The sequence below is a fragment of the Homo sapiens genome, chromosome 18, assembly GCF_000001405.40.
Source record: "Homo sapiens chromosome 18, GRCh38.p14 Primary Assembly".
Lineage (NCBI taxonomy): Eukaryota > Metazoa > Chordata > Mammalia > Primates > Hominidae > Homo > Homo sapiens.
Genome location: NC_000018.10, coordinates 64,193,829 through 64,217,829, shown reverse-complemented (window position 1 = coordinate 64,217,829; position 24,001 = coordinate 64,193,829). Strand labels below are relative to the sequence as shown.

Genomic DNA, 24,001 nt, shown 5'->3' with positions numbered 1-24,001 from the left:
AAACAACGTCCAGATTGTTCCCCATCTCTAAAAACAAAATATCATGAAAAAAGCTCTGGCATTGTTTTCATTAAGAAAATTTAGTCTTTGATAGGGTGTACTATTTCCAGGCCAAAGCCACATGCATTTTGTAGCTATTTTTTTATCATTTGTAAAAATTCCTTTATTAATTTATCTTAACTGTTTTTTAGAGGAATCTGTATGAAGTGATACTCCCCTAGTATATTGACTTTTTATATTTTTATGCAATTAGGATAAAAGTGTCCAAAGAATTACATAATGGACACTTATTTACCCACCCATCCCAGTATAAGAAATAAATTGCATTCTACATTGAAGTCCTCTTTGTTCTTTTTGCCATTCCCAGCCTCCTTCTAGCCTCTCCAGCTTATGCAGGAAAAGATTAACTGGACAGGCCTGAATTCAAACCCTGTACACTCTCAAGAAAGACTTGTCTTCAGGTCTGGCCCTTAGTAAGCTCCTTGGAAGGTAAGGTCTGAGCCCTTGGCATATTCTTCCTCGTAAGAGTGTTTTTTTTATTCCTGAGGCCTTGAGCCAGGTATACCAGTAAGATCAGATAGTTGATGCTAACAATATGACTTATAGTAAGAACTTGTTTTTCACCTGGGGAGCTGGAATCTGAGTAGCTGAGGTCATCACTGCAGTGGCTCATGCACTTACTAAGGCTCAAGTGAACTTCCCTGTTGACAGCACTCCACGTGTGTTGTCGTACATTACAGCCGGGAAAATTAAGCACATCTACATGACTCCACTGGAAGAGGACACCTGGGGGCCTGTGCCTAGTTTCTCCTGGACATCTCCTCATAGGCCTTTACTCTTTGCTCATTTTTATCTGTATCCTCTCTGTGTAATAAACCATAAGTGTAAAAACTGAGTTCTGAGTTCTAGCAAATCGTCAAGTTTGAGGATGATCTCAGGGTCCTCTCACATAAGCAGTAACCAATCTCCTGATTTAAGGTTTGTCATGCATTTATAATAAATATGTTGGTGTTCATATAAAATATAGTACAATAAGCATATTTTAAATATGCATGTAAATATTATTCTTTACGTATTCTTGATTTGCTTTTATCACTTGGAGTTATTCTGTGGGATTTACCTTCAATAATGCATATACCTCTAGTTCATTCATTTTAACTTGTGCATACTGTTCCTAGGCTTGATGTTCCATTATTTAATTATTCATTCTCCTATCGATAGGCCTTTAGGTTGTTTCCCACATTTTGCTTTTATGACGAAATAAAAGTTTTTTATAGGTCTACATACAGATATAAGCAAGAGTATCTCTAGCATTACATTTGGCCAAATTTCTTCCCAAATGGGCCGTTTGTACAATTTATCTTTACACCAGCAATGTGTGAGAGTTCACATATACCACATTTTAAGCAATATCTCTATGGTCAAACTGGCTTTACCAAACTAATAGTTATGAAATGCCATCTTACTGTAGTTTTAGCTTTCATTTGCCCAATAGTGAGTGAAGTTGAGAATGTTTTATGTATTTGTTGGCATTTTTGTGAGTTTATTTTCTGTAAATCACCTGTTCATCTTTTTTCTCCTTTTTTTATAGAAAGGCTTTTGTTATTGTTGCTACTGTTGTAAGTTGAAGAAATCTTTATATATTTTGCATTTTAATGCTAGCTGGTTATAAGCAATACGTATTAGTCAGCTCAGGTTGCTATAACAAAATATCATAGATTGTAGGGCTTAAAAAACAGGCATTTATTTCTCACAGTTCTGAAGTCTAAACTCAAGGTACTAGCAGATTTGGTTCTTGTGAGGACCCACTTCCTGACTTGCGGAGGACCACCTTTTCCCTGTTTCCTCACATGGCAGAGAGGGAAAAGTTCTGGAGTCTCCTTTTCTTATAAGGGCATTAATCCCATCAAGGGGCCCCAAACCTCATCAAAACCCAGTTACTCCTCAAAGACCCCACCTCCAAATACCATTATATTTGGGGTTAGGGCTTCGACATATGAATTTTGTAGGAGGGGACAAAACTGTTTTATTCAGTGGACATGTTTGTCCTTTCTTTTTGCATTTTATCAATTGATATACTCAAGTTTGTTTATTTATGTGTTTTAATTTGAAGGCTGCTCATTTTTTCTACTTCCGGTTTAGGATGTGTCTTTTCGTGTGTTAAGAAATCTTCTGCAACTCAGTTCACTCATACACTTTTCTTTATTCCCTCTAACTTAGAGTGCTGATTTTTTTTCATTTTGCAAGTTCTAATATCATGAGAGTTAATTTTTATGTGTGGGGTAAAGTAAGGACAAATTCATTTTTTTCCATATGCATAACAGGTTGTCCCAATACAGTTTATTAAAGAGTCCATCTTTCCCCACACTTTATCATTTCACTTTTTTATTTCTTATAAAAGTTTTGTTTTATTTGTGTGTGTGTGTTTGTGTGTGGGAAGTGGGTGTGCTGAGACCTGATGTAAAATATATTTCTCACTATGAGCCTGTGGAGCCTATTAAAAAAATAGTTGAGAGCCATCACACCACATTATACGGCTAAAATACAGACTTGCAAAAAATATGTAGTCATATTTATTATTTCTCTAATGGACTCATTGGAAAGACATTACCAGATAAAATACATTTTTATTAATTTTTATTTTACTGAAACTGTGTTCTAAGAATAAACTGCATTTTATATGTATGCAGTGAAAGATGAATGCAGTCATGAAAAGCTTTATCAGAATCATACTCTTAATAGTTTTACAGGAGTAAAGAACTATCTTCTGTTTACCATTGCAGTGCCACTGCAGAGCGCAATTCCTGGGGCACGTCGGACATTCAGTAAATACGTTTATTGAATGAATAAAACATAACACAGTAAGTAATTCATCTTAAAGTCAACCATTTACATTACTTTTTATCCCTGAATACCCTTCCTCTACCTGTCAATTCAGCAGTCCAAGGGAAAAACCAGCTTGGTCAACATTAAATTTGGAGCTCCCACATCATATATTTTCATAGAACTAAACTAAGACATAGTTTAAAGAGAAAATGTTTCACTCCTCACGTGACCATGTTCTCTTTGGACTGGCTTTTCCCCTTCCATTCCATATCTCTAAGTCCAGTTTATCCTTTGAGTCCTGACTCACTCAAGCTTCTCCCCACTTCCTTCCTTGACCACTTGTTAAGTGTTTGCACCAGTAGTCTAGAAGTATAAAGGCATACACCTCATTATCACTACACACTGTTTCATAGGTAAGTCTTAATTTCAAATTAGTTCCTAACTCCTTGTTGACAATGACTATGACCAAGACGTCAATCCTCCTTTAGGGTCTAAAACAGTACTGTGCATGTCAGAGGCATTCATTATATGCTTGTGAATTGACCAGAATAAATGACCGAATTGAAGTCTGATTTTGGTCAATTCACCAGACAAAGGGCCACAGAAGCATTGCATCCTTTCATGACAGAATTAGGGCATGATTCCATTTCTATATGAAATACTAGCTGTGTGTTGTTATTAAAATTATTTTCTGGCCCCACTGAGAGTTGAAAGAAAAGTTGAAATTTAAAGGATTCCTTCTATTCATCATTTTTAAGAAATTTCATTTTTAGTTATGAGGCAGTGTAAGGCATATTACCATTTTATTTGGACACTTATTTAGACCAGATTGCAAATTTTCTGTTAATTGAGTGCTGAATTGGCCAACACACCATTGTAGATGTACTCCATAGCTTCTGCACATGGAATTTATTACAGACTTTTCATCCACATCTGCTCCTTTACTTTGCTTAATATACTATAGTATTTCTCTTAGATACAGGGGAAGACAAAGAATATCAAATGACAAGTGAAGAAAAATTAACTTAGAATTATTCACAGTTAAATTGTATCTATACTCAGGTTATCTAATAAAATATTAAATAAACTATGTATCTTTTTTGTTGTCCTGTTATATACTTTCCATGTTTCTCATTACACAAATACACATTTAGAAAGCTGAAAATATGTAGATGAGCAAATACGAGGTTACCTAAAATCCTATCATCCAGAGATGATAACTATTGACATTCTGCTATATATACTTCTAAACATTTTCTTGTAAAACATAATTTTTAAATAGATTATATTCGTATTTTTGAGGAAAATATTTTTCAGTTAACAAGTTGCTATTTCAAAATTAACACTGTAAATTCCTTTCTATGACAGTAAATACACATGTATATTTCATGTGAAATAGTTGTAGCAACTTTTACTGTATAAACCCATGTAACATATTTAGCAAATCAATACATATTGTAGGAAACTTAGTTTCCAATTTTCAATATGTTAAAATTTTGACAAGAATATTTTTGTGTAAACATTTTTATAAGTATATAATGCTTCCTGAGGATAAATTCTAAAAAGAGGTCTTACTAAGTCAATATATATTTTTTCCTATAATTTTGACATGATTTGCGAATTTGCCCTTCAAAAAACTTATACCCATTTATACTCTGTTTCACCCTTCCTAAAAAGTACTAGTTATCATCCTTCACTTTTCATGTTTAGAATCGGTTAGGTGAAAAATAGCATTTCCATTTACTATTTTTTATTATTTTCAACTACTGTTGAGGTTAAATATCTTTCTATGTGGTTTTGGGCCAATTTTATTTTTCTACTAGAATGATAATCTTTTATTGGTTTTTCAGACTATTACCTATATTCCTGAGTCTGACATATCAAAGTTTTTAATCCAATAAATAAAATATCATTTTAATAAAGTTATTTATTTCTTGACTTTAGTACCACCCCAAAAAATGTTTGCTGAAAGGTTCCAATTAGACACTCTTGACTGAATTCCCTTCTTTCCTCACCTCCTTTCTGTTGTATTCTTTAAGGGCATAGAATGAGAACCATGTAACTCGTGTTAGTCTCAAGATTAATAGACTCAAGGTGCAAGAGATGCAATATTCCGAGCATGAAGAATTATTAACTAGCAACAACGTTTTGAGAAATGTTCTTGCATTTCAAATGCTTCATTGCTTCAATGAATAGTGAACACAGGAAGTCACTTGGAGACAGATGCTGCACTTGCACATATTACAAATGCAAACAGCCCAAAGTGAACAGGGAAGAATAAAAAGAAAACCAGAAATTCTCTGATGAAGAGGAAAAAAATCATTGCCCTGAATTTGAAAAATAATCTCTGACTAAAAGGTATCCTCTCAATCTAAGGCCATTGTGCAGTAAACATGTCTTATATGATGAAATGAGGACTTAAAAGAGCAAAATAATTGTGTCCATTTCCGATGGTAGTCAGTACTAGAGTCTGACTACTATTAGAAGACTAATTTAATATGTACTATGTTATTCCAATAGAACTGGTAAATCTCACTTAATACTATAATGCCCATTAAATTATATATTACATTTTGATTCAGAAGTAGATAAGTGCATTTTTCTGGGGAGAGGTCTCTGTTTTTAATCAGATTCTTAAAATGGACAATGAACTCCCAAAATAGGATATAGCCCAAACATGCTATTTCCTGCCACCCTCCTAATATTTGCAAATATTCCACTTTCTCTCTGGAATGACCTTTCTTTTCTTTCTTCCTATTACAAAATAATATTCTTCCTCAAATTTCAAGTCAAAGATTACCTTGTTAATAAGTCATTTTCAACTCAATCAGAATTATCCCTTTTCTGGATATAAACAACACTTTCTGCCTCTGTTAAAACAGCAATAAAGTTACAGTATAGCTGATCATTTTGCTTGTTGGTCTCACTGGCAAAGTGAGGACAGAGGCATATTTTATTCTTCACTGTCTCTTCCACACCCCCATAACTTTGTTTGGGGACAAAGTGCTGGTACTGAGAGCAAATACTATCTTTATGCATGGATGACTAAAAGATCATATAGACAGGTGATTTTGCATATGACTGAAACTTCACTTCATAGTGCCTTTTACTTTTTGAGAATCTGCACCCTCACTCAAAACACATTGCCTAAGGCTGCACTCTGGGTTTTAAGTTTGCTAGCATATTTTCTCCCCAGACTCCTCGTTATCTCAGTGTTGGGGCCTCTGCGACATTTCCATATAAGGTTCTTTATATTTTTCTTTATCATTGTCTTATGCCTCCTTGAGCTGACTGTGTGACCAATTGAGTCTATTCTCTTCACTAGTGCACACCAGGGACCCTGAGTTGCTATGAGAGAATACCTTGCATTTGAGGTACAAGCATTGTCACATTTGAAAATATATATTCTGATTTTTTTTCCCCTCAAACTGGCATTTAACCCAAGTTGGGCTTTCCCTGGAAAATTGAATGTTGCTTTTCAAGAATGTATAGATCATCAAATGAATTATTATCACTCCTATGATCAGAAAGAACCTGTGGGTGTTCTATTGGCTTATTATTAAATTGGGATTACAATGTAAACAAGGCAAAGGCCCCACTTCAGGGATTTAAATCCAAACCTTGCAAATTATCTCAAATATATATATGTTTAAATCCTGTGTCAATGGCTGGAAGATACTGTTGTGTCTCATCTATTTTTTAGTTTCACCTGTGATGTGTAAGGAAAATGCATGAGTAAAGGATAAACTTGACATTTCATTGTATTATTCTTTATGGTAGAGAAATATTGCAGGGCACCTTTTATTTTCCGTGTTTAATGATGATATTATTTGGTAGCAAGCAGGGCAAAAGAGTCAGGGCTAAACCTGTTATCAGCCTTTTCTACTTATCTTAATGATCTCAGGAAAGTTGTCCAAAGTTCCTAATTCTCAGTTTCCTTGTCTGTACAGCAGGGTTATTCCATCACCTCAAGGTATCTTTTATGAGGATAAAATGTGAACATGTTATATAATTTAAAAGAATAGAGGAGTGTTTGCAGTTGCCAATTAGGACTAATATAATCAACTGTCTGTCTGCAAATACTCACTAGGCTTTTTCTCTTTAGGGTGATGTCTTCTACCTGAACCCTAAATATTTGAGAAGTCTAGGAATATAGAGTTCATGAGGTAAGACATTAGACAGCAGGTGCTTCCCTAGTGTTCTGACAAGCCCAGCCAATAACTATCACTTGCTGCGTAGAGGGACTCAGTCTGTGGCAGATTAACCTTTGACTTCACACCTCTGTGCCGCTTCTGAAATCAAATTTGCCACACTAAATGGAATCATCACAGTGGTGATAGCCTTTTTTTTTATTTCCCAGGCTGTTTAATTTATTCTGCATAACTAGCCACTTTATCCCTCAGGGGAAATTCATGAAAGAGCTGAAGCCTCTGGTCTTCCCTGTGAAAGGGGACAGAGCTGGTAAGTCACAGCCAGGACGCTCAACAGGGCTACATGCATGGAACCTACAGAAAACCTGATTTAAGGATTAACAGAACACAGCATCTACACTTCACGTTCCTGAATTCTAATGAAAATAATACATCATGCATTCGCCTAAAATTTTATTTTGGTGTGAAATCTTGGTCTTTGTCTTTTTTTTTCATCCCTGTACTTCCCTGGGTCACATCATGCTTTAAGAAAATAAAAAGGCTTCGTTAGTCAGACAGTATCCATAACAGATGCCAGTTCAAACTGAGCAACCTAAAGAGAAGCAAACTACACCCTTGGCAGCCAGAAATGAATACATCCTGAATCCAACAAGACAAACATGTCCAAAGGGCTAGTCTAACAGATTTGACTTCACATTGTAAAGTGCTTGAGTGGATGTGGCAATAAAGGGTAGATGTATATTTCAACACCCTAGGAGTTCATTTCTGTCAATCGATGGCTGGAATTTACTTTGAGGATATTACCTAAAGGTGTTTTTGAGTCACTGGACATTTGGAAGCCTGGTTTGAAGCATGCATTTAAATGGAAGAGGAATGTTTTAAAAGCTTTCTAACCATTTGAAGCTGTTATTCTGAAAATAACATTTCAGAGTAATATAGCAATGCATTCGATTTTCAGAGGGGGAGCTTAAACTTGGCGAGGTTGAGTGAATTGTCCCATAAATGTGTATAAGCAGGGAAGTAACAGAACACAAGTCAGAATTCTCTAACCCTGGCTGTTTTGTGTTCTGCAAGTATGTGATACTTGAGAGTGAAGGAATGGCACTTTCAAGTTTAGAAAGGTGTCAAAAAAAATCTGAAAGAAAAGAATGAAAACACTAGGGAAACTTTTGTTTGTTTAGGATATAGGCATGAAGTTGAGAGCAGAAAGGAAAATTGAAACTATTTTCTTTTTCTTTGAATTTTTACCGTCTCAAAAAAAGTGGGGTACAGATGAAAAGGAAGCTATCAGCCAGTCTTTAGCCACAAGTAGGAACAACAGAAACATGAGGCTTACAACAAAATACAGTGGGAGGAAAGAATCCTGAATTGAGAACACTGGGATCAGATTCCAGCACTTACTTCATGACTGCAGGAGGTCAAAATCTCTGAAATCCATGGTTCCTCCGTGTGTGCAATAGGGAATTTTATTAGACTTCTATGCTGAATTTAATAATTTTATTTTTACAGTTCTAATTTACATAATTTCCACAGAAAGCTTATGATATTCTAATTCAGTAATGCCCATGAAGTAGCATTATTTATAAACTATAAAATACTATGCACATGTTAATGCTATTATTACTTTTGGAAATGTACCTATTACATTCAGACCAGGGAGCTCTATTATCAGGCTCAGGTGTGTACAGGAAATATGATGATGCTATTCTGGAACATCTACTACATGCTTAACATACACTACCTCTCATTTTCCCCACAAACTTCAAGTTAGGCATTATGGTATTAACTTCCTGTTACTGCTACAAATTATTGTAACAAATTATTGTTAGCCGCTGAACGTACCTGAGTCACACAGCACCAAAATATGTTAGCGGTGGAAAATCCATATCAGGTCTGCAGCAACCTCAATTCTTGCCTCCTCAGAAGAAGGAGGCATTTGCTTGAGGGGTATCAGGCAGGAAAGACTGAGGCAAGTTTTACAGCAGGAATGAAAGGAAGGTGCACTTGGAAGACAGCAAAGCAGAAAACTTGAAAGACAAATGCACAGCTTGACCTTTTGACTTGGGGTTTTATACGTTGGCCTTCTTCCAGGGTCTTGCGTCACTTCTCCCAACACCTGAGATCTTATCCAGAAGCGGCTGATCACCTGTTTCAGGTGTTTTCTATCTATTAGGGGCGGGCCTTTCCCTGGTACCAGCTGTGACTAATTATTACTTTAGAGAGACAGTTAACAACCTCCTGACCATCACCTGATGGTCGCCCGACACTCCCGGTGTGTGGGGGTGGGGGATGGGGGTGGTGCCCTTTCCTGCCCGCTCATAAAGGACTAGCTACCTACTGTAACATTATCACAAACTCAGTGGTGCACAACACAAATGTGTTATATCTATGGAGGTCAGGAGTCCCAATTCACCGTATCAACTGGGCTACGTTCATTTCTGGAGGCTCTGGGGGAGAATCTGTTTCCTTGCCTTTCCTGGCTTCTAGAAGCTGCCTGCACTTCTGGGCTCATGGCCTCTTCCTTGTATCCCTGAGACCTCTGCTCCTGTCATCCCATCTCCTCCTCCCACTCCCACTCTTCTGTCTTTCCTTTTCTTTATAAAAACCCTTGTGATTACAGTGGGCTCCACAAGCAAAACCAGGTTGATCTCCTTATCTCAAGATCCTCAATTTAACTACATCGGGAAAGCCTCTTTTTCCATATAAGGTAACATACTCATAGGTGCTAGGGATTAGAATGGGGAGATCTTTGGGGTTGGGCATTATTCTATCTACCGCAGCATTATTTATTCCATTTTGAGATAAGGAAACTGAAAGTGAAAGTAGTGAAATAATTTGACTATGAATAGTTCGTAAAGGAACAACACCACCTCATGCAATTTGGTGTTAAATCTCAATGCAGAGGCAAAAGGTGCTTACGGTAGAAACCTCCTCGTCTGTCAACCATCTGCCTGCCTCAGTGTTGTGCCTTTAGCTATGAAGTGAATTAGGGAAGGGACAATTGTGAATAAATCTAAATCTAAGCTCACTTCTGGAAAAATAACTTTCAAGACTATATACTTCACCCAGTGAGAAAATAGACATTTCTGGACAAAACATCCAAAAAGGAAAAGGCTTCTATGCCCAAATTAAAATAGCTCAAGTGGCAAGGACATTCACTTTTTATTCTGTGCATGCCCAAAAGTCTGCAAGTGACAGGGTGCACATCTGGCCTCACCGAAGTGATGTAAAAATCTGTATCCCTATTTCTCCACGTCTATGTCCATGCCTATAAACATTGAGATGTGGCACCCACGGTTCAAGCGTAATGCTTTTGTTTCCCAAAAGGTCTCCTGGACTTGGTTTTCACTCGTTCACTTCAGCCTGTGAGGTGGAAGCAGCAGTGATTACAGGAACACACTAAGCTGGACCATGGAGAAATATAACTACATGTAATATGGAAAGAGAAATAAAACAGTTATGATTTATTCCACGGTCTGAGTGTGCCGGGAACTGTATTAGGTACTGTATGTGCACAGACTCATCAAATCTTAGATCAAAGGAATTCCTTCCTTTGAAATAAGAAGGAATATTATAAGTACATTACAAATGAAGAACCTGGGGCTCAGGCCAAGGTCACACAGCCAGTTGGGCCGAGAGTGGGACCTCACAGGCAGGCGGTCTGCCCCCAGAGCCTACCTGCTGGCTATGCCAAGTGGCCCTCACCTCATATGAAAGAGCATGATGGTAGGAGAGGGGCTGGGAGTCTCTAGTGGGCAGGGTCCCACACCTTTGTGTAATGTTGTGTGAGGGTGAGAGGTACTGAGAATAGGCTCTGTGGGGTAAGGAGAGCTTGACCTACAGGGTCAGCAGGAATAAAAGGCTTAGAGCTGTTAAACCTGTTCCTGTGTTTGATTGCTCCAGATACAGCCTCCAAGGCACTGTGGGAGAGGGACTGAACTGTGGGTGGGCTGGTCTAAGGCCAGCTACTGTTAGGGTCTGAGCTACTGGGACAGCATAACCCTGAGCCCCACTCAACAGACACAGAGCCATGGGAGCAAAACCCCCTCCTAACCCACCAGGACAAAATGAGGATATGGCCAGTAGCTGAGCCAATCCGAACTTGCTGAACCAAGCAGACTCAAGAAATCAACCCCAGTTATCCTCAAATACATATCTGAAAGAGACAAAATTATTAATTGTATTTATGACATTTGTGAGTAAATAAAAAAATGCATTAATATTTCGTTAGCACTATTAAGATCAGCTAGAAGAGTATATGTTATGCCAGTTACAATTAGGTTACTGGAAGATTTTTAACTTGCAACTTGGAAATGATGTTTGCCTGCAAATAATTGAGACCTACACAAGGAAACAAAGCACAGGTGCTGGTGAGGTTGGGGTACAAAATGTAGAAGTAAGCTAGATGGATTGAGTGGGTGAGATATGGAATAAGTGGTGGGAAGTCAAATGCAAAATCAATTCAGTTTGTCAATATTGATTCTCTATTCTAGCCTGGCGTGGTTTTTCCTCGTCACACACACACACACACACACACACACACACACACACACACACACACACACAGCATAAGATTACTCAGAAGCTGCTACTGGTATGAAAATGTTATGTTATTAAGTTAGTAAACCCCATTATTCGCCAGATTTCATATTTCAGAGTCTCTGTAACAGAACATTGTATCAAAAAACAGAAAACAAGTCTCACTTAAGAAAATATTTGATTTTTCTATGCTTTTGTGCTCTACTCTTTTCATGAATAACAAAGAATAATGATACTGTAATATTAAGAAGAGATTTGTTCACTTAAAACTCAGACATTTCCCATGAGTGAGTTCATTGAATTTGTTGGCTATCTACTCTAAAGTACTAGACACTCCAGTACCTCCAGAAGGAAAAAGCAATGAGAGATTGAACGTTCCCCACAAGGAGACTGAATTATTGTTGAATATTCAAAATACATACAAGAGAGAAAAAAGGTCTTAAGAATGTTTACAGAGCAGTCTTCATTTTAGTATAAATTATTATAATGCAAATTGCATTTTAATATTGTCTAACTTAAATCTTAAGAGAGAAATAGATTAGGTACACACTGCCCATTTCATAACTGAGTCGATTAAAATTCTGAGTGAGAAATTGGTAGAGTCAAGAGTGAAACTCAGATCCTTTGTATCTAAATCCTATGGTCCTTCTACAACACCCCATGGCATCCTTATTTACATTTTTTATTGATAATCAGGGAACAGATCACCATTGAACAGATATAATTTAACCTGAGTTTTGAAAAAAGAAAATGAAGAAGGCATTCAGTGTTAGCAAGCGGTATGCGCAAAGCTGTTAAGTGGAGTAGTCCTCTGAGAACAAAACAATCCTGGGCTCATCCCAAAGTTTAACGACAAGTCCTGGGAGAATTGAGCTGATCTGCCGTAAATGAAGGACCTGCCAGAGCGCAAAACAAAACTCTTTAAAAGAAGAAACAAAATCCAGACTAGGCTCCAGTGTGCAGCAGACAATCAAAGATTACAAATGAGCAAAGAAGCAAAAAAAGATGATACACAGGAGATGGGTTAATGGTGGGAAACTCTCAACAGAGTCAAAAAAACAAACCAGACAGGATGGAGGTGTGGGCATTAGCAGACAAGGACTTTCATACAGTTCAATAAGATGATTTTTAGAGACTTCCGGGTCTAATACTCTATGGAAAATGTACACAGTCCTTCTTTAATTTGGGAAGAGTAGTTGCTTCATTGTGATTCAGCAAATTATCAAGCACTTCAAAATGTGCGAGGCACTGTGAATAACAAAATAAACAAGAATAAAATGACCCTGTACCTTTGTGTAACCTGGAATCTGGTGGGGCGATGGGAATTAAACATGTAATGTTCGCTCAGTACTATGAGTGCTAGGTTGGAGAGAGTACAGTGCTAAGGCAGAAGGAATCTGACTTGCTGGAAGGTAAAAGCAAATTGGAAGTGGTGAAGTAACTAAAACTTTCTGGAAAGCTACTGACAAATTTCTGTACCCCATGTTTTAATGCTGCTTGGCTCAGTCTTTGAGTTTGTGCTCCAAAATTCCTCAGAGAGGCTGGGTGCAGTGGCTCACACCTGTAATTCCAGTACTTTGGGAGGCTGAGGCAGGTGGATCACCTGCGGTCAGGAGTTCGAGACCATCCTGGCCAACATGATGAAACCCTGTCTCTACTAAAAACACAAACAATTAGCCGGACGTGGTGGCGGGTGCCTGTAGTCCCAGCTACTCAGGAGGCTGAGGCAGGAGAATTGCTTGAACCTGGGAGGCAGAGATTGCAGTGAGCTGAAATCGTGCCACTGCACTTCAGCCTAGGCAAAAAGAGCAAAACTCCATCTCAAAAAGAATATATATTTTTTAAAAATTCCTTCAGAGAGGTAAACCAATTCCTTATACTCTAAGTGGATATTTGTTTTGTTTTGTTTAAATTTTTGTGGGTAAATGATAGGTATATATATTTATGGGGTACATGAGATGTTTTGATATAGGCATACAATGTGAAATGAGCACATCGTGGAGAATGGGTTATCCATTCACTCAACCCTTTATCCTTTGAGTTACAAGCAATCCAGTTACGTTAAGTGGATATTGAGATGTACTGTTTCTTAATGCAGAAATGGAAGTGAAAGATAATGAAAAGGATAGTGCTGCATTCTGAAATTGTCACCTGAGGAAGCAAGCCCTGAGCTCTGAAAAGAATGTGATGTAGGCAGAATTGGTAATATGGAAATAGAATAGTGTAAGCCACCTCTTTGAGGGAGGAAATCAGAAATCAGAAACATAGGTCTCCTCTTAAGAAGAAAATTATCTTTAATTGAAAAGAAACTATAAAAGAATAACTGGGATATAATATACTCGGTTCATTCAGGAAATGCTTTGTAAATTGCCTTCTCTGTGCTGATGAGAAAGCTGAAAGATATCAAATATTTATCTAACTAAACAATTTGCCTAGTCCCTGACTAATCAACGTGAGGTAAAGACAACAAATACGATTAAGTTGAACTGTGTTCTGTCGTCTATCGCAAGTTACAAATCTCTGTTGAGTTTTCTGAATTTGATGGAAGGAAGTAAAGACCCTTGTTCCAAGTTATTTGACTGCAGCATTTCTCTTTCTTTTTGTAACATAGCTCTTTAAACACTCTGTTTGTATAGACTTAAAATGTTATGAAAGTTTTAAAAAAACTTTTTTACTCAAGCATAGCATCCACCATAAGGAAATTTTGAAACTTTTGGTAATTTCCAGTCATAAAACACATTGTAGGAGGTAGTGATGATTTTCATCTGCACCTGTTGTTAATCAGTTCCAGAGTAAATTAACACACAGTCCGCTGGTTTTTCGCTTCCTTTTGCTTTTATACCTAGAACCAGCTGCTTTGTTTCACATCCAATATATACTTCATGGAACCTCTGGTATATGAAATTGCAGCTTTTTTGTTTTTGCTCTGCATGGGTTAAGTGGAGTTATGCTCCAAAGCCAATGTTTTTGATTCCGTGAAAAGAATCCTGTGACCTTGTGGAATTCTATCCTCCAAAGTCCTGGGCTGATTTACAAACCATCATTGCTTAACGGGATAAGGGGCCACATCTAGACCTTTCTTAGCACAGATAAATTTTTCTATTCTCTTCTCCCCAGTACTTCCTGAAACACCTCTGCTCCACAAAAATTTCCATTCTTCTTTGCCTTGCGCAATGCTGTGTGGGCTGCTTGGGTGGCTCGTCATCACAGAAATCTTTTTTTTTTTCCGTCACAAGAAAGAGAACAACCTTTCAGGGGCTCATTTTGTTTCCTGCTCGCTTCTCTGACAAGCGAAGTACAGATATGCATGTGGCAGAGTGAAAGAAGTCTGCCCGGGGAAGCCTCAAGACCTGGTCTGCACTTGTGCCTTTTTCAGGAATTATAATTACAAACAGCTCTATAGTGCTCATGGCTGAGCTCCTGTAAGCAGAAGAGGTTTGGAAACAGGCAGGACCCAGAGAACTCTGAATTGTTTCTATTATTTAGGGTCTCCACCACTTTGTTTGCCAGCAATGGCTAAAAACCAAACCTCTGAAGGGCTCAAATTTTCAGGAAAAACACCCTCAGTACATTAATAGTACATTTTCATCTTCTTCAGTGTCTGTCTCATGCACACTTCTTAGGAGAGATAAAAATATTACCTAGTGTAAGGTGTCCACCCACCTTTTGCCCTCAGACTTCTGTACTTAGAACAAGGTTTGCAGAAAAGTTAGCAGGAATATCATCCGTCTCTGAAGCCTCCCTAACAAACTCAAAGAAAGGCACCTTAGGGCCTCAACGTAGAAATTATTTTAAAGCATGTTGAAACCACAAATGGCATGCAAATAGATGCTACAGAAAAACAAAGCACTGTGAGAACTAATGACCTCAGAGCTTGCAGTTCTCAAGTAACCTCTGTAAAAGGTCAATACAAGAGGCAAGATTAAGAAACAGGAGCCGAAGCAGACTCTTCACAGACGAGCAGGAGGAAACAGGCTAACGGGCCTCACTTTCTCATGGCACCCATGCAAGCTCATTCATGATGCAAACCAGGCAGCTGGTGCCAGAATTCGTGTCTTTGTAAACATCTCTGCTTTCTAAAAGAGAACATAATTCTCCTCCCCTGGTGTATTTCTTCACTTATAGCTGTCTGAATTGAAAAGGCAGATGTTTTATTTAGGGAATTGACTGCAAAGGTGATTGCTTTCAGGTGAAACAGTTAATAAATTAAAATTTAGGGAACAAATAAGTCTACTTAGGGAATAGAACTCTACCAGCTAAATGTGGAGAGAAAAGAGCTCAGCCTAGTTGTTCTTGGAATAGCTCTGTGGATAATTACATAATTAGGAGAGCAGGGTGGAGGGGCACAGTCGTATTGATTAGCTGTCTAGAAATTGCCCTATTGCTAAACCTGGAGGCAGACATTTTATTATCGAAATAAAACCTGTTGTACAAGACTCAAGTCTCATACAAATGCAAGTGTTATAAGCAATGCAGTGTACTTTACAGTGCCCCAAACCCTTGGGATCTCAGCTTCTTTTGAACAAAGTCAAACATACCCCCTTTTAAAAACTTTCTGCCTTAATCCCACTCCCATTCCAGCCACTTCAGTATCTTCCTGTAAACCTTCACTGAAAAAATCCTGAAGAGTAAACTCTACCCACCAGTTCCAGGCCCTCATTCACCATTGTTCACTTTTTAATTCACTCCAACCTCATTTCTGCCTGTGCCATTTCTTGGGACCTCTCCTGCCAGAGACCTAATCATTTCCCTCCTCTGAGCCACTGAGGACACTTCAATCTGCATATTCTGAGACTGCATGACAATGTCTCTGCTGACCACTTTGTCCTTCTGAAAGCCCATCTTCCCCTGGTTACCAGGAGCCCACAACCTCGCAGTGTTCCTCCTCTATCTCATATTTTTATATATATTTTTTGCCACGCCATCTCATAAGCTCACAGAATGGTTTTGAATAAATATTTGTTCCATAAATAAGAAATGTAAAAGAAAAGTGAAAGAATAAATTCGACTTCTGAAGAAACATGAGGTGAGGTGTGGTGCTCCACAGTCATTGTTTCCTTAAATTAAGCTTCTTCAGGTTCAGTGTCTTGATCATGCTCATTCCTAACATTTGCACCTGGGACAAGGGTGCAAACAAAAGCCTGGGATCCATAGAACTTCCATCTTCTCTTCTCGCTGTCAACTCTGGCCTGAACCAAGAGGGGCCAGGTATATGGGCCAGTGGACAATGCACTGTAACTTGCAAGCTTCTTCCACCACCATCTAGTAGCTGCCACAGTAGCCACCCTTTGGCTATTCCTCAGAACAAAAGATAAGCAAACAGCAGTTCAGCCCGCTCTCTGAATGACAGGCAGGGGAGAGGCCTCTGCAAGCTATGGAAACCAGCTTGGAGACTTTGCGTCCAGAATTTGGAGGTCTGGACCGTGTCTAACAGAGGAGAATGGAGTAGGTTCTGAGAAGGCATATCCCCTTGACCTGCAGGAAGAGCACAGTAAGAAGAGAGCCAGAAAGGCCCCTTCTACAAAATACCTGGCCCGGGGCAGGGGCCTGGGCAGGCGTTCTGCTTGTGAGACTGGTCTCCATCATCTTTTGGCATTTTAGTTGAGAAGCCTGAGGCTCTCCTTTGGTTGTCCTTAAGAAGAATTAGAGTCAGGCTCAGAAGCCCAGAAAAGCTTCTCATTCATTCTTGGGGCATGTGTCTTAACCTGGGGTGCTCTAGAAGGGTCCATGTCACTATCATCACAGTTTCTATACATTCTATGTCCTCTACACATCCTATACTTATTTTATGGAATTGCATTTGTGATATTTTTTACATTATATTTTTGGCAAAACTTAATAGAAGATAGGCACAAGAAAGATATCAGGGGATAATCAAACAATACTGCTTTTCACCCTTCTTGGAGGCTGCTAAGGACCAAATGAAAAAAATTATAAGCAAAAGGTTGTAGAAAAGAGATGGATAACTTAATCAGACAGAGGCTTAATTAAAAACTAATGAAGTGAAGACGCTGGGCTTACCCAGTATGCAAATTATTTCATTGTATGTTACCCTGTTCGCTCATTTCTAAGCTAGTATTTTCAACTTACTCATATGCATCTAGAGAAAAATAATACTTTATTTAGCAAAATTCATCATGTATACTACCAATCCGTATCTGTTTATACCCATGCATTCAATCATTTCACATGACAGAAGAGCAAAATTTGGGGAAACTGTATGTGTTGCATGTGATTGATGTTGCTAAATATGAGTATTTATAAAGGAAATGCAAAGAAAGAAAAAATACCAATATGTTAAACTTGAAATGATCCATAGACTAAAAAATCACATCATTTCTGGTCTGGACAGAAACACTTGAAACTGCAAAAACCCTTTCCCTCTTTTTTTCTGTCTCCAACCACACAACCATGGAGCTGTAAGTTCTCCTTTGAATACATCAGGCACTTCTACATATCTGTGCTTTTGCTCATACTGGTCTGCACAACCTTAAAAAGTCTTTCTCCCTTTATCATTGGATAAGACTGTCATCATTCTTCAAAGCATAGATCAAATACTCCTCACTTGTGAAACCTCCCTCCTCCCCTATGCTACTAGTCAGAATCAACCATTTCCCGTTGTTGCTACAGAGTGTGATGAGACTTAAGACTCTGGGTTCAGGTATTGGTTCTGCCACTGGCTAGCTGTGTGATTTTGGCTAATTTTGGTCACTCACCTTCTTTATCTTCTTTATCTATAAAATAGGGACAATAATAGTATATACCTCATGAGGTTCTTCTGAGTTTTAAATGAGCTAAGAAAAAAAATACAGATTAAGGATTCAGAAAGAAGGTCTGAGACACTGTAAGTACCTAAGAATGTTTGCTATTATTATAGCATGCCTTCATTATTATACATCATATGAATGGTGACATGACCCATTTGCCTATTCAGTTTGCCTATTCAGTAGCCTATCAGCACTTTGAATTTTTGTTATTATACTTTAAGTTTTGGGATACATGGGCAGAATCGTGCAGGTTTGTTACATAGGTATGCATGTGCCATGATGGTTTGCTGCACCCATCAACCCGTCATCTACATTAGGTATTTCTCCACATGCTATCCCTCCCCTAGTCCACCACCCCCCAACAAGCCCCACTGTGTGATGTTCCCCTCCCTGTGTCCATGTGTTCTCATTGATCAATTCCCACTTACTAGTGAGAACATGCAGTGTTTGGTTTTCTGTTCCTGTATCAGTTTGCTGAGAATGATGGTTTCCAGAGGAACTTAAACAAAGTTATAAGAAAAAAACAAACAACCCATCAAAAAGTGGGTGAAGGATATGAATAGACACTTCTGAAAACTAGATATTTATGCAGCCAACAAACATGAAAAAAAGCTGATCATCACTGGTCATTAGAGAAATACAAATCAAAACTACAATGAGATACCACCTCACACCAGTTAGAATGATGATCATTAAGAAGCCAGGAAACAACAGATGCTGGAGAGGATGTGGAGAAATACAAATGCTTTTAAACTGTTGGTGGGAGTGTAAATTAGTTCAACCATTGTAGAAGACAGGGTGGCAATTCCTCAAGGATCTAGAACCAGAACTTTGAGTTTTTATTCCCAATTCCACAGTATTTATACATAATAAGTTTTGGATAACCCTTTGTTGAAGTGGACTACAGTGTCCCTAAAGTTATTTATTTATTTATTTATTGAGAGAGGGTCTGGCTCTGTCACCCAGGCTGGAGTGCAATGGCACAATCTCAGCTCATTGCAACCTCCCAGGTTCAAGCAATTCTCCTGCCTCAGCCTCCTGAGTAGTTGGGATTACAGCCACATGCCACCACACTCAGCTAATTTTTGTATTTTTAGTAGAGATAGGGTTTCACCATTTTGGCCAGGCTGTTTTTGAACTCCTGACCTCAAGTGATCTGCCTACCTTAGCCTCCCAAAGTGCTGGGATTACAGGCATGAGACACCACGCCCTGCCCAGTGTCCCTAAACTTTTATAAAAATATCTAAACTGTTACAGTGAAATGAATTATCTCTTTATATGAATTGTTTCTTTGACAAAGAAATCACAAATAGATAATTTTACCAAAATTTAAAAATAAGTATTCACAACTCAAGGGCTTGGAGAAATGGCCTTAATTAATAGTTTCCATTGTACAATTGTTTTGTTAAAGAATAATAATGTATCCACTCAACAAGCGATTATCAGCAGTTCAGTGAATTATGTACTATATTGGATAAACCAAAATTGTTCATTTTTCACAAATGTTTTCTGTTGTTATCATTTATATTGGTCATACCTTACAACATTTTATTTTTTATCATTATTTATTTTATTTTATTTTGTTTTATTTATTTATTTTGCAACAGGGTCTCACTCTGTTGCCCAGGCTGGAGTGCAGTGGCCTGATCATAGCTCACTACAGCCTCAACTTCCTGGATTCAAGCAGTCTTCCAATCTCAGCCTCCCAAGTAGCTGGGTTCACATGCCACTATGCCAGACTCATTTTTTTTTATTTTTCTGTAGAGACGAGGTCTCGCTGTGTTGCTCAGGCTGGTCTCAAACTCCTGGGCTCAAGCGATCCTCCCACTTTGGCCTTGGGAAGTGTTGGGATCAGAACAGGAACAGGCCACGGCCCCCAGCCCTTACAACATTTTTAAAGAAATTATTTCAACCAAATTATCCTTGAACATATACATTATGAAAGTTTTCTCTTTTTTTTTTTTTTTTGAGACGGAGTCTCGCTCTGTCGCCCAGGCTGGAGTGCAGTGGCGCGATCTCGGCTCACTGCAAGCTCCTCCTCCCAGGTTCACGCCATTCTCCTGCCTCAGCCTCCCGAGTAACTGGGACTACAGGCGCCCGCCACCACGCCCGGCTAATTTTTTGTATTTTCAGTAGAGACGGGGTTTCACCATGTTAGCCAGGATGGTCTCAATCTCCTGACCTCCTGATCCGCCCGCCTGGGCTTCCCGAAGTGCTGGGATTACAGAAAGTTTTCTCATTTTCATAACACAATAAAAGATCTGGCAGTGAGATCCTCCAAATTAGCAAACTAACAAGTCACAAAGGCACAGCATCGTTTGTTGGTGGAAGTTTGTTATTTTGTAAAAATAGACTGATAGTGTGAATGACTTATTTAGAAATTTTCTAGGTAATTTAGCAATAAGTAATTTAGACACTACAAATCCTGTTTATATTGAAACTTCTGGTACATAGATAGAGCCAAGTAGGACAAAAACATTTATTTATTTATACCTGTAACACATAAATAGAAAAACATTCACTATCTTCATATAGCAGAATGAATGGCAAGGGTGTCCCAGTGTTTTAGTAGAGAGAAAGAAGACACTATCCAGAGTTATCACTAATGAGTAGGAGTGATACAGGAATTTAAAATTAAGCCCACATCATGCAGCAATATTTGGCGTCATAAGCACAATTCTGCTACTCTCTGAGATGCTTCCATGTCGTGCCTGGTCCAAAATGTGCTCCTAATGACGGAGCCACCTAAAGAGCATCACGTTACCTACCGCCTCCTCTCCACCCAGTAACCACTGCTGTACTTCAAAGACGAGGAGGGCTATGTATTTTGCATTCATTGTGAAGTCATTCACTCAAATCTCCATCTGCTGAAATGATGGCAACTTCCTCAGTCAGGGCAGAACCCCAGTTTGACAACAAGGCGTGTGTATCCATAGATCTCTCTCTCTGTGCTACCGAATGAGGGTTCTACACTGAGGCCGTCAATTTGTTGTCCAAACATTCCCAGAGGTAGGTGAAGAAATGAATAGTGTTTTACTCTGCCTGAAATCATATTTGTAAAAACTTTTGAAATGTAAAGAAATGGAGAAAGTCGGTCTCTCAGTAGCAGGTGAGTGACTTCTTACAGTGAGAGGAACGCCTTAGTTGGGGGAGATCTTGAAAAAACTGCTGAGATGCACGCTCTGTCAACACATTTTTGGAGAAGGACTCAGATAATCCTGCATAAAAGGGGAATTTCTTAATTCCTTTCTTTTCTTTCTTTCCTTTCTTTCTTATTTATTCATTTAACTCATCTTATTTGTTTTTGTCTTTTTTTTTTTTTTTTAAGAGACAGTTTCGCTCTGTTGCCCAGGCTGGAGGGCAGTGGCATAATCATAACTATCTTTTTTTCTTTTCTTTTCTTTTCTTCTATCTTCCTTCCTTCCTTCCTTCCTTCTTTCCTTCCTTTCCTTCCTTCCTTCCTTCTTTCCTTCCTTCCTTTCCTTCTTTCTCTTTCTTTCCTTTCTTTCTTTCTCTCTCTCCCCCTACCCCAGCTTTCTTTCTTTTCTTTACCTTTCATTCTTTCTTTTCTTTCTTTCTTTTGGAAAGAAGTGGAAGGAGATAGAGAAAGGGAGTTAAAGATGGAAGATGGAGAGGGAAAAGTCAAAAACATAAATGATGTGAATCCCACTAATCCTCAGGGAAGCATAAAACCCATAAATGCTCGGGATAAGATAGTTTTTAGCAGAGGTGCGGAAACCAGTGACGAGGCTGTCACCTTCTGGGGACATGGAAAAAACATAAATAGTATGTTCAGTCTCAAGATGTGGCAACAGAGATGTTCCTAAGAAAGTAGCTTCTCAAGAATTTGCAAAAGCTGTTGGGGTGACTTGGGGCTGTCACAAACGTGGACCTGGCCTCTCACTCCATATAATTTAAATCTCTGAAGTCCGGGGAGTTCCCACCTGGCATCAGAGCCAATGTGTGCTGTTGAAGGGGAGGCCAGGTCTGAATTTCAGGAAGCAGTGCCTTCTCAGGAAAGTTAACTAACATGGTCATAATAGGACATTGTTTAAATTAAAGGCTAGGCTTAATGCTCATTAAAGTGTTAGTTTAAAATTCTAGGCTTAAAACGATGCAACTTCTGAATTTATTGAAGGGCAGAGCTAGTGATTCCTGAATGGTTTGGCTTGTATTTTTCTTGTCTCCTAAGTTTTCTACACATATATGATATGATTTAAGTTCTCTGTGCAAACATCCTTTTTCATGAAATCCACTTTTATAACTGCCTATCTGTAAAACTACTACAAAGAAAATTGGCTTTCCACCATATTCATTCCTTAATGGTCTTAAAACAATTATGTACTGCTATTAAAATGCATGTCAACATGAAGGATTTTACACTTTGGTACATAGTTCCTATTAAAAGCTATCACGATAAGCAAAGAATTCATTACTTTGTGATATTGAACTTGACATTTCTCTTAGCAACATTAAAAAGATGCAGTTCATTGAAGGAAATGCCTAGGTTTCAAATCAACAGGAGGCTATAAGAAAGCTTTACATTAAACTCCATCTCAATATAGAGCATCAGAACTTTCATTGCCTCATTCCATTTACGGTCTGGTACAAATCAGATTCAGAAAGGCATAGACTATTTCAGGACATTAAATGGTAGCAAGTCCACCGCTCATTGTGTTTTAACAGGTTATCAATTGCATCAGAATAAGCAGTGCAAAGTCCCCAGTAATCCCAGTGTTGATGAATCAGTCTAAAATAATGGCTTATTTCTATGCTTCTTTTATTTGCACTAAGGGAAGACCATGTTCTCAAGGAGGGCACCCCATGCTCCCTGGCAGATGTTTTGCAACAAGGATGGCTAGCAAAGTGGTCCCTGGACAGAGGCCTGCACAAGAAGATGTCTTCCAATCAACTGTGGAGAAGCCGCAGAGTGTGAATCTGTTTTATCTAAAATAAAACCCAGCCTTCAGGGCCTTCCTCAATGTGAGGTGTCCCTGGGTGCCCTATGTTTGTTCTGAATTAATCAGGCCTTCCAGGCTCCTCCAGGCTACTATTCCCACATCAGTGGAATCAGTCCTGGCTTCTCACCATGATCTTAGTCTTCACTATGCCACACATACTTAACTGTTTGTTTTTATAATTACACTCTGCCTTGATCCGAGGAGGAACGGTAAATAAAAGATGTTTTAATTAAGATAATTGTAAAAATAAATAAAACAATTAACAATAAGTCAAACAAAGCAGAGGAAAGAAAACACCATGTAAGCAAAGCAGGGCCTCTTAGGCATCCCAGAATGACTAAATTAGCAGCAAACTGTAGGCACTCACTTTTTCAACTGTATTTACATGCTGTTTTGCATTTTTTTCTGCACCGATGAACAGCATATTTTAGTAGACTCCCCATTAGAATTTATCTGATTCTTTCTCCAAACAATGTTGTTATTTCTTATGCAAACTATATCTGTTTAAAAAATTATTTGCCTTCTTCTATTAGAAACTATCAACTCAAAATGTCTTATAACCTTGACAATGGTAAATTGCTCTTTTCTTCTCTAACTGGAAACAGATATGTCATTTTAGAGATTATGGTTTTATTCATTTAACTCATCTCATTTGTTATTGACTTTTCTTTTTTTTAAGAGACAGGGTCTTACTCTGTCATCCAGTCAGGAATACAGTGAAAAAATCATAACTCATTGCTGATTCAAACTCCTGGGC

At 38.4% G+C, this 24,001-nt stretch overlaps 2 long non-coding RNA genes across 2 annotated transcripts in view; one reads left to right on the top strand and one right to left on the bottom strand.

Moving 5' to 3' along the window:
• The window catches only part of LINC01538 (long intergenic non-protein coding RNA 1538), a 46,974-nt gene extending 42,226 nt beyond the window's left edge, over positions 1-4,748 (top strand). The window contains exon 3 of the long non-coding RNA NR_033983.1: positions 2,784-4,748. This is a non-coding gene — a long non-coding RNA (long intergenic non-protein coding RNA 1538). The remainder of the gene's footprint in view (positions 1-2,783) is intronic.
• Positions 1-24,001, bottom strand: part of LINC01924 (long intergenic non-protein coding RNA 1924) — a 319,511-nt gene that overhangs the window by 205,772 nt on the left and 89,738 nt on the right. The gene's annotated exons all lie outside the window — the stretch shown is intronic.